This window comes from Homo sapiens, chromosome 8, assembly GCF_000001405.40.
Source record: "Homo sapiens chromosome 8, GRCh38.p14 Primary Assembly".
NCBI lineage: Eukaryota > Metazoa > Chordata > Mammalia > Primates > Hominidae > Homo > Homo sapiens.
The window spans coordinates 93633387-93645768 of NC_000008.11; the positions used below are offsets into that span (position 1 = coordinate 93633387).

Consider the following 12382-nt stretch of genomic DNA (forward strand, 5'->3'; position numbering starts at 1 on the left):
AGAAATTAGCCAGGCATGGTGGTGCAGGCCTGTGGTCGCAGCTACGCAGGAGGCCAAGGTAGGAGGATCATTTGAGCCTGGGAAGTCAAGGCTGCAGCAAGCTATGATCATGCCACTGCACTGAGCCTGTGCAACAGAGTGAGACCCTGTCTCAAAAAAAATAAAAATAAAAATCTAAGAGAAAAGTCAGTATTTGCTCTTACCAGCAATAGGGTCTAAACTCTAAGTTCTAGAAAAGATGAGGAAAAAGATAAAAAGCAATGTTGTAGATAAACTAATTTGAATCTGACCTGTCAAATCCAGTGTGAGAAGGAGAGAATGACAATTATTTTAATGATCCCAAAGAGGAAACGTTTTAGAGAAAGAATGTAGTGAAGGTTTATAGGAGGACCAAAGGAGAGGAAAGATTTCAAATGGCCACTGATTTTTGAACCTGATGGAAGAAACAGAAATAAATCTTATTAAAAATACTATTGTTTGGAAGAGAGAAAGGTTAGTTTATGTCTCCAATATTGAAATTGAAAACAGAACTTCTGAGCAAAACTATTCTATCCAATAGTGACTGGTTCGAGAAGGGGAAGGGAGGAAGAGGAAATAATATAATACCTGCATCCTTACCCTTCCTTGTCTCATTCTTAGGTATGAGGCACTGAGTCCGGCTCCAGAAAATATTCTGAGTCCTCAGAACTTCAGCTTTTAAAGATATTTGGTTTCTTCAAGTAAATTGAGTTATGAAAGAGTTAAAGTATAAATTAACAACAATTCCAATGTCTTGAACATATAATTCAATAACTGTGTGTTATTACCAGTTAAAGCACTTTTCAAAGCATGCAACTCTATTGGTTCTACAAGTAGATTTGCTTCATGTGATTTTCCTCTAGAAAATTAATAATTTTGGCACTGTGTTTTTGATGTTCTTTCTAACCTGTGTTGTAGAAGGATATTGTTGCAACTGCTGCTTTGTGTATTCTGTCTCTTGAAGATGATTTCTCACTTACTAAGTTTGAAATCTAAATCATGGGGTTGGCTGAGGCTGTTGCCAGACAGCAATATCGCCGAGTTAGGATGAAGTTAAAAAATTTGTGTTGTCATTTTGGATTTTTAACTTTATTCAGAAAAAAAAAATCCTGCATAATCTTAGAATTGCAGGCATGTGAGGTGTAGACTAATATTTTGTCTCAGATGAACAGTTTTTGCTCGTTCTGAAGGATCTGCAGGGCATGCGCTACTGAAACGGCTCATTCCCAAACTAAGCAATAAATCTAGAATTGACAGCTACACAATTCCATCATAAGTCAAGGAGGCATTGTGTTCGGTGCTCAGGCCGTCAGGTAACTAGAAACTAAGAGGGGAACAGGAATAGCCTCTCCACTGTTAGGAGAGATGTCAGAGATCATTTTTAGATTATAATCTATTCAAAATCACTAGATTTGGGAATATATGGGACACTTTTAAGTGTTTTTAATGCTAATAGCAGAACTCAACAAAAATTCAGCTTAGCTCCTAAAATTTAGTTAGGTTACCCTCTTAAACAACAGCATCAAGAACTGATTGATTGGTTTTTTATTTAGACATTTTTAAGAAAAACCAATATGATTCAAGGTTTTGTGAAAAACAATGAATTTTTTTAAACCTTTTAATGGAAGTTAAACCTGCCTTATTCTAATTTATGCATTTAGGTTTGGGGCTATGAATATCGTTTGGTCAAATACCACCCCCCCTAAAAAAAGAACTTATATTTTAAATACACAGATTCACATTTATGTAAATATAATACATTTATAACTTAACTAAGAAAAAACTGCTAAAGTAGATTTAATTTATACTTAAACCAACATTTAGTAAAATAAATAAAATTACATATTGGAATCATCAGTCACTAGAGTTACAAAAATCACAAGTTTATTAATGATAAATTTTCTTCACGATTTTGCTTTTCATGAAAATGCTTAAGACATTTTTCATGAAGTCATCTCTGGAATTTTTACAAAAGGTAGGCAGATATTTCTAATGGTGGTATATCATTTTATTTATCTATTGTGCAGATGTATACATCTGCTCTATAACACTCTGTTTAGCTTATTGCCACAGCATTAGAAAGAAAATGGCAAACTGTTTCCAGAAAACTGATTCTCATCTGCATCCTTTAAGACTAAAGGATGTCTTCTGGCTTAAAAAGAAAGGGAAATATACAAAGACAAAAAAATCAAATGGGTGATACAATTTGAAGTTTCTTTAAAAACTATTGTTGGAATCAGAATTGCAGAATTTTAGCTGGAAGATATTGTCAATTATACAGATTTTAAAACAACAACAACAACAACAACTCCAAAAGGCAACTCATGGGGAACGGCACGATTTAATGAAGATCTCTAAGGCAGAGAGCTAGTTTTCCCTACCACTTGCCATCAGAATCAGAAAATAACTCTTCTATAGAAATATCCAAAATGTGGAGGGACTATTTGCAAATTTTACATAAATTTGTGAAGTTACTGCCTAGAAGATGTGATTACAAACAAGTAAAAATCTAGCACATCTAACTCTCAGGTAGTTCAACATCGAATTTGTTATATGAGACATCAGAACATTTATAAATGGACAATCAGGAAGGCTTTTTTGACAGTAAACCAGCAACATCTACTGTCTGGAAATGGAAATAGCAAGGGAAGGCATTTCCTACACTGTATGCATGGGGCCCTGGGAAAAGGCGATGCGTTGTCACAGGTGCAGCTAAGACGTGAAGCAAAGTGAGCCTGGCTAGTGAGAGGTTGAGTACTCTGCAGACTGAAGAGAAGGAAGAGAAGAAAAACAGGAAGAGGGGGATTTACTTAGCGCAAGCACTGAATCTGCAAAGATACCAAGAAAGGAGGGAGGAAGGCAGGGTGCTGGGGACAGTGTCACCAGCAAGAACTATTTTTTTCTCTGAGCACTTACCTCTTTTCAGAGAAAATCTCCCTCCTGTGCCATCTACTTTATATCTTTCTGTTCTCTCCTTTCCCACTCTCCTCCCTAACTGCATCTCCTGCAAATCTTTTTGAACTGAAAATATTGATGATCTGAGGTTTTTTAAATTGCTTCATAAATCAAGGAATTTCTAGCTTTAGGATAATACAGTGAACATTTACAGCTAGGCCTACCCTTGCAGGCCATCTACTCTGTATTTAACAGATGAAGAAACAAGCTAAGAAAATTTGGGTGATGTTGGGGTCACCCCACTGGTGAGAGACAAAACCCCATCTGGATACCAGACTTCCTCACGGATTGGGCCCAGTAAGAATAAATTTCCCTGTAAGGTGGCCATACCTACAAAAGTGTCCTCAAAAGTTTCCACACCCCTACTCTGTTTCTATTTCTTTTGCATATGCTTGGAATTTCAGAAGCTCAATAGAATTATACATTTTCCTCATACACACTTTCCTCATTTTCTCTGAACTATTTTGAGGAAAATCAGAATTTAATATGAACACATAGCTTAGAAAGAAAACAAAATGGGCAGTTATCATTAAGTCAATGTATCTAATACGATATATTTCTGAAAAGAAGAAATCTAAATTTTAAGTTTTTATGGTCTTTTTTTAACACACACAACAAAAGGAAACACCTAGCTTTTTATCTTTAATTCCTTCTATCTTTATGCAATTTTCTGCCATAACACTGTCACTCATTGTGGAATGAAATTCCCTAGACAATCAGGAAATAGACTTTTTTTTTTTAAAGCAAGTAGCTTAAGATGGGCTGGGTGCTTGGCTTTATGGTAAAGTTTCTAAATGATAATTTTAGTTAATCAGTGTTCTAAAGATGATGTATCTCCTAATATGTACTTTATCTGCAAGTATAAAGCTCTAAACAAACCTTTCCTTTTTAACACCCTTTTACTGTAAATTAGTACAACCATTGTGGAAGACAGTGTGGTGATTCCTCAAGGATCTAGAACCAGAATACCATTTGTCCCAGCAATCCCATTACTGGATATATACCCAAAGGATTATAAATCATGCTACTATAAAGACACATGCACACGTATGTTTATTGCGGCACTATTCACAACAGCAAAGACTTGGAACCAACCCGAATGCCCATCAATGATAGACTGGATTAAGAAAATGTGGCACATATACACCATGAAATACTATGCAGCCATAAAAAAAGGATGAGTTCATGTCCTTTGCAGGGACATAGATGAAGCTGGAAACCATCTCAGCAAACTAACACAGGAACAGAAAACCAAACACCGCATGTTCTCACTCATGAGTGGGTGTTGAACAATGAGAACGCATGGACACAGAGCGGGGAACATCATACACTGGGGCCTGTCAGCGGGTGGGGGGCTAGGGAAGGGATAGCATTAGGAGAAATGTAGATGACGAGTTGATGGATGCAGCAAACCACCATGGCACGTGTATACCTATGTAACAAACCTGCACGTTCTGCACATGTGAAAAAAGAAAGGAAGACTTTGTTCCCCTTTTTTTCCAGAAACACCCTGGAGAGGAAATTTTTAATGTCAAAATGTAAAGCTATCCAGTTGTTTTCATTGTGGTCCTTCCATAAACAAGAGATAACAAGGCCAGGGTATTATTCGAATCCATTCTAGGTTTAGAAGCTAACAGTGTTGAATTTTACCAGACCCCTGTCCTCCCAGAAGACATCAAAGGTTAAATGATTAATGCCCCCACTTTTTGTGTTCCATAAAATTGTTTCCTGCAAAGAACCACCCTTTCTACAGGGCATAGGTAAGACTTATGGACACCTCTTTTTCACCCATGACAAGATCAGACACAGACCCTCCAAAGTGTCTTTTTTTGGCTTATAAATGATTAGCTTACAATAAATGAACTTCTTGTCCCTATTGATCAATAGAAACAAAATGATTGTTGGCCAAACTAATCCTTCCTCCAGGTCCCTGAACTTTAGCCCACCCTCTGCCTAAGCCAGGGTCTCACCCCTATTTATGGCTATTTACTGGAAAATAGGCTGGATCAGGATAAAACGCTGCCTGTTCCATGGTCCTATACACTGCTTTCATTCCGTTTCCTCACACCAGCTCTTTCTTGCCTCATTCACTCCTCTTATTAAAAACACCCTTTCTAGGACTGGGCATGGTGGCTCATGCCTGTAATCCCAGCACTTTGGGAGGCTGAGGCAGACAGATCACCTGAGGTCAGGAGTTCGAGACCAGCCTGGCCAACATGGTGAAACCTCGTCTCTAAAAATACAAAAAATTAGCCAGGCATGGTGCCAGGTGCCTGTAATCCCAGCTACTTGGGAGGCTGAGACGGAAGAATCTATTGAATCTGGGAGGCAGAGATTGCAGTGAGCAGCAAAAACATCCTTTTAACCTAATTCTTGAAATACCAGAAGATTTTATGGTCTCAGCATTCTCCTTATTGCAACAGTTCCCCTCTCCCTACTGCAATAATCTCTTCCCCTCCTTGCAATAATCCTTTTGAATAAACTGTCTCCTTAGTAAACCCGGATTTGTTTTTTATTTGACAAAACCAAGAATTCTAATTTAAGCTGAGATTAATCGACTAAATAAATGAGAGTTTAATAAGATAAAGCCTTCTTGCTCTAGAAGCAAAACTCTATAATGTTCCTATGAGTATTTCTATTTCTCTTATTTTTTTCTTTACTCCAAAATAAAATTGCAAAACTTTTCAAGGGCAAGGCTTTATGGGAAATATTTGCGTTCAGATGAATGAAAGGTGAAATTAATTTTTATTTTACAAATCCTACTAAAACTCTCAGTATTTTCCAAGTCTCGTCGTGGCATATCAAGTTACCCAAATTTGCCCAGATCCAAGTTTACCTTCAATGAATGAGAGAACTGCTTCTTTAGTATAGGCTCACTAGATCTTCATGCAACTCACTATTTTGCAATAGAGTGAGAAATCTAAATGTTTCCATTCAAAATTCCTGTAACAGGCTTAGTTCTCAGTTGTTTACCAGCACAGAAATCTAAATTTTCAATGACAAAAACCACATTGTGAGGCCTAGTGCTACTGCAAATCTTCAGGACACTTCTATGGCCAGAACTGACCAATACCATATGCCACATTATGTAAACAAATATGTACCAATGGGCTCAATTGTATAAACCACAGGAGGAAACAAAAATGATGAGCTGAACAGATGTCTTTGAAACATAATCATTTCTCTGGCAATCCAGGAGACAAAGACCCTTTGGTCTGTGGAAATAAGTTGGAAATCTTTATACACTCACTCTTTATTTAAAAAAAAAAAAGACAATTAGTTGGCTTTTCATAAACTTAACTGATCTAGGTAAATGTGAATTAATTTAGCTAGTGCCTTTCTACACATGTTGGAAGGAATCATTCATTTCCCTTGACATTAGTTCTAGGCTCAGATCCAATGCCTATATACTCTGATTCATTTCTACTGTATTCATTTAATGCTGTGATCTATTTATTCCTTTATTTATTAAATATTTGTAGGCCTCCTACTGTGTGCTAAGCACTAGGGATACAGTTGTGAACACAATAGACAAAAATCTCTATCCTCATGGAACTTGCAATCTAGACAGGAAATAAACCAGATGAGTTTTTAAAATATAGAATGCTAGATGTATGATGTGCTAAGGAAAAAATAGTAATGAAGCAGAAAAAGGAGCTACAAAATGTTGTGGCACAGGATGATTTTAGTCACTGAAATGGTCACCATTTTTTCTTTTTTTTTTTTTTTTTTTTGAGACAGGGTCTCACTTTGTCACCCAGGCTGGAGTACAGTGGAGCAATCATGGCTCACTGCAGCCTCAACCTCCTGGGCTCAAGCGATCCCCTGGCCTCAGCTTCTCGAGTAGCTGGGACTACAGAACTACAGGCTCCTGCCACCATGCCTAGCTAATTTTTGTATTTTTTATAGAGATGGGGTTTCACCACCTTGTCCAGGCTGGTCTCAAGGGATACATACATCTCAGCCTCCCAAAGTGCTGGGATTACAACTGTCAGCCACTGAACCCAGCCAAAAAGGTGATTTTTGAGTCAAGATCTCAATGAAGGGAAAAAACTAGCCATGCCAGTATGTGGGGGCAACACTCCTGGCCAAGGGAGCAGCAAGTGCGAAGGCCTAGACATAGAAACTCTGCTACCCGCAGTGCTGAGCACCACAGAGGATAGAAAGAGAAATCAACTCCAAGAGCTTAACATCTAGTCAAGAAGGTTAGCACACAAAAGTCTTGAAACTAACATCATGTAGACTTTTTAAGAGTTAAAAGAAAGATGCAAACATGACTCCATAGCAGTTCAGGAAAGGAAGCAATCATATTGTTGAGAAGGCTCAGCTGGTAGGGTGAGGTGGGGTTGGGAGTTAAAAACACTCCACAGAGGGGTCAGGCACAGTGGTTCACACCTGTAATCCCACACTTTGGGAGGCTGAGGCAAGAGGATCGCTTGAGCCCAGGAGGTCAATACCAGCCTGGGCAACATAGTGAGATGTGAGACCCCATCTCTACAAAAAAATTAAAAATTAGCCAGGCTTGGTGACCCACAACTGTAGTCCCAGCGACTTGGGAGTCTGAGGTGGGAGGATCACTTGAGCCCAGGAGGTTGAGGCTGCAGTGAAATATAATCACACCCTGCAACAGAGGGAGACTCTGTCTCAAAAAAAAGTTAAAAAATAAAATTAATATTTTTTTCAACGCTCCGTAGGAGCTTAAGTTTGAGAGGAGTCTTTACAAAGCATGTGAGTCAATGAAGTGGGACCCAGGGGTCAACTACAGTCAGGACCAAAAAAGGGAAAAACATATAAATATTAAATATTATGCAGATATATAAATGTACAAATATTATATGTAATATAAATATTATGTAATATGTATTGTACATATAAAATGTTATAATATAAATATATAATTATTGTACACATAAAATCTTATATTACATATAAAATGTACAAATATATGTAATACAAATATTATGTATTTATATTATATTATATTATGTAATATTTGTATTACATATAAAATGTTTGGCCATATATTAAATATATACTATTTCCCCATGCATAGAACTTTCCTTGGTACCTCAAATGTGTTATGAGTAGGGCTTCTTCTTACATTCGTTAATTGAGAAAAAGAGGTGGAAAGTTATTTGTCAAATATAAAGTCCTCACTGAATGCAGTGGCTCACACCTGTAATCCCAGCACATTGAGAGGCCAAGGCAGGCGGATCACTTCAGGCCAGGAGTTTGAGACCAGCCTGGCCAACATGGCAAGACTAAAAAAAAGTGATGCTGACATTTATATTAAGATTCAGGTCAAGATGATATTACATATTCTTTTTGTAAATTTAATATTTTAAAGCAATACTTTTAAGTTTTACTTTTAGCTTGAAAGTAATTTTATTCTAAAAGAATAAAGAAAAGACCAAGGAAGATTTCCATTGTCTTATTTGGGGGCTTATTAATTACAATTAAACAGAAAAGCTACCTCTACAATTTTCATTTGCCCTATACATAGTTCAAAAGCAATCGTTTGCTGCCCCCTGCTGTAAAGAGATTCCTTATCTTTCAATAAAACTGGCTTTAAAAGAAAAAAATTACTTTTGCAAAGAATTGCAGTATCATACTTTACTGCATTTTAAGTCTAAATATCAAATATCATGGCTTCTTTGGCATGCGGATTTAGAATTTTTTCTTTTAATTTTCATTTCTATGACTTTTTTTCTGGTTATCTTTTGGTCATTGTTTGCTAACTTCATTGCTCTGTGGTCAAGCATTTTCTAGGACAAACATGGCCCCATGTGTGGTTGGATTTTATAGTTAGGAAATGCTGTTTCATCATGTTCAATCTGCATGTAGTTATTGAATTGTCTGCTTGAACTGTATTTGTGAGAGCTCTGGTAGTGGCTTCATCATTTCTCCTTAGAGTTCTGTCCCTTTATTTTTATTTTTTTTCATTTTTTTGAGGCTATGTTTTATACATACACACACCTCTTTCTTGATCTTTTTATTATGTAATACTTTATTTTTCTCTATGAGCCTTTTTGCCTTAATCTATTGTTTGATACTAACATTCGAAGCAGCTTTCTTTTCTTTCTACTTACCTTATATATCCCTTTATTTCCATTCTTACTGTATTCTATTTTAGATGTCTCCTGTACATAACACAAAATTGGATTGATCTATTCTGTGAATATTTATATTTTAGTTAAAGCATTTATTCCATTAACATCTTCTGTATTAATATATTTGAATGTTACATTTGTCTTCTATTTTTTTTTTTCTCTAGCTTCGTTTGCGTATTTTTGTCATTTTCCTTTTTTATTTTCTGTACATTTTGAATTTATTTACTCTATTATTTCGGTGGTTGTTCTAAACAATTCTTACCCTTGCTTGTTCATTAAATCTAGATTTGGATACATGTTAGTCTCCTGATTTACATGATTTTCTCATCATGCATTTTTGGGTTTTTTTATTGATATATCATAGTTGCACATATTTAGTTCCATATTTTTTTAACTATCAGAAGAAATTTTTATTATTGTTGCATACCGTCATTTCTTGTTTCATTATACTTTCACATTTGCCATTTTGAGTGCTTTACTTGATTCTTACACTCTGATGTAATTCTTACACTCTTTGCTTTGGTTAAGTAATCAAAGGATTACTTCTTTCTCCCTGAAGTACATCTTTGATAATGTCTCTTTTCTGTGGGTTGCAAGCCCAAAGATACAGTTTTTCCCTCTTTCTCATGGACATTTTTGGTGGTTATAAGATTTTATATTTTATTTCAGAACTATGAAGATGTTCCACTATCTTCTGGCTTCCACCGTTGCTAATGAGAAGTCAGATGTTGGTCTAACGTTTGTTTCTTTAAAGCAGTGGTTCTTGGGGTGTGGTCTCCTGACCAGCAGCATCAGCATCACCTGAGAACTTGTTAGAAATACATACTCTTTGACCCCACACCCCAGATCTTCTGAATCAGAAACCTGGGGATGGGGCCTAGAAATGTGAGATTTTTGTTTTGTTTTGTTTGTTTTGAAACAGGGTCTTGCTATGTTGCCCAGTCTGGTCTCGGACTCCTCCGTGCAAGTGATCCACCCACCTTGGCCCCCCAACATGCTGGGATTACAGGTGTGAGCCACTGTGCCCGGGATTGGTTTGTTTCTTAATAGAGAGATATTTACAGTGTGGTTTAACAAGACCTCCAGGTGACTTTGATGTAACTTAAAGTTTGAGAACTATTGCTTAAAAGGTAACCTGTCTTTTTTCCTCTGGTTGCTGCTAAGATACTCTTTTTACCATTGGTATTCTCTGGTTCCTTGTGCCTAAGATTTCTTTTTATCTCTTCAATCTGTTTATATTTTCCTCCTGAAATGAAAAATCTACAGCCACTATATTTTGCAGTAATTGCCTGTGTTCCTTCTCTGTCTCTCATAGGTAACTCCAGTTAGAAATGGTTCAGTTCTTTATCTTCTGCCCCCTCCATGGTTCTTAGCTGTATTTATCTTTCTCAACTTTTTCTGCTTGCCTTGCATTTATTGCTACAAGTAGCTTTTAAACTTCAGCCTTCATAAAAATTTCATGTAGGGTTTGTTAAAGTACTAATTCATCAGCCCACCCCAAAGAGTCTTACTTAATTGAATTCCGATATGATCTGGGTATCAGAATTACTTAAAGTGCTCCAGGGGACGTTTATGCAGCAGACTGTATTTAAGAAACAAATTCTTTTCTTTTTTTTTTTTGGCTGTGTGTAATCTAAAAGCTAGTTACTTAGGGCTTTTGTTGTGGGTTTCCATTTTGCTTTTATTTTAGCAATTGTAATTGTCCTTTAGAAATCGTAAATTTTAAATTTATATATTTATTTATATATTTTATATATATAATTTAATTTATATATTTTATATATATAATTTAATTTATATATTATATATAATTTAATTTATATATTTTATATATATAATTTAATTTATATATTTTATATATAATTTAATTTATATATTTTATATATATAATTTAATTTATATATTTTATATATATAATTTAATTTATATATTTTATATATATAATTTAATTTATATATTTTATATATATAATTTAATTTATATATTTTATATATATAATTTAATTTATATATTTTATATATATAATTTAATTTATATATTTTATATATATAATTTAATTTATATATTTTATATATATAATTTAATTTATATATTTTATATATATAATTTAATTTATATATTTTATATATATAATTTAATTTATATATTTTATATATATAATTTAATTTATATATTTTATATAATTTAATTTATATATTTTATATAATTTAATTTATATATTTTATATATATAATTTGATTTATATATTTTATATATAATTTGATTTATATATTTTATATATAAATTTAATTTACATATTTTATATAATTTAATTTATATATTTTATATATAATTTAATTTATATATTTTATATAATTTAATTTATATATTTTATATATAATTTAATTTATATATTTTATATATATAATTTAATATATATATTTGGGGGTGTTTGAGACAGGGTCTCATTCTGTCACCCAGGCTGGAAGTGCAGTGGCATGATCTCGGCTCACTGCAACCTCCACCTCTCAGGTTCAAGTGATCCTCCCACCTCAGCCTCCCAAATAGCTGGGACTACAGGCATGCACCACCACGCTTGGCTAATTGTTTTGTATTTTTAGTAGAGACAAGGTTTTACCATGTTGGCCAGGCTGGTCTTGAACTCCTGACCTCAAATGATCTTCCCGCCTCAGCCCCGGAAGTGCTGGGATTACAGGCATGAGCCACCGTGCCGGGCCTATATTTACGTGAATAAAAGTGGTAGAAATAGTCCTAGTAAGGACAGAAATACCAGTCAGTAAAAGTAACAAAAGAATTATTCTCTCTGTAATATTTACATCTGCAAATTCTGAATATCCTGGGACACTGTGATTAAGTTGAATATGGGGATAAAATCAAATATTGGGAGAATTATGGTCACAAGAGAGCTCATAATGGAACAGTTTGGAGCAAAATTTGTTTTGGACCACAAACTTGATGGAGGAGGAAGATCTAAAACTGAGGAACAGGGCTGGGTCGAGGGTGAGGTTTGTGAGTGCAGTGTCAGATGCCACTCACTCTGAGCCAGCCCTGTGCTTGTCCGACTGGCACTGGAAGTGCCTCCTTAAATACTGCACACTTATCTAGCAGCCTGGGTTGCCTCATCCCAGTCCTGGCCCTGGTGAGAAGAAAAACAGATCCCAATAAGAATAGAGTAAGATTTGTAGGAATAGAAAAATAGAACTGCTTTTGCCATGTTGTAAAGAAAATTAAAAGAGAAATTAAGCAGCCTTAACAGCTCTGAAAAAATTAACCTATCTGTTCTAACTTATCCATGGTGA

The 12382-nt window shown here is 35.1% G+C and overlaps 1 long non-coding RNA gene across 1 annotated transcript in view; it reads right to left on the reverse strand.

Annotated features, from left to right (window-relative positions):
• The window catches only part of CIBAR1-DT (CIBAR1 divergent transcript), a 353967-nt gene that overhangs the window by 286920 nt on the left and 54665 nt on the right, over positions 1–12382 (reverse strand). The gene's annotated exons all lie outside the window — the stretch shown is intronic.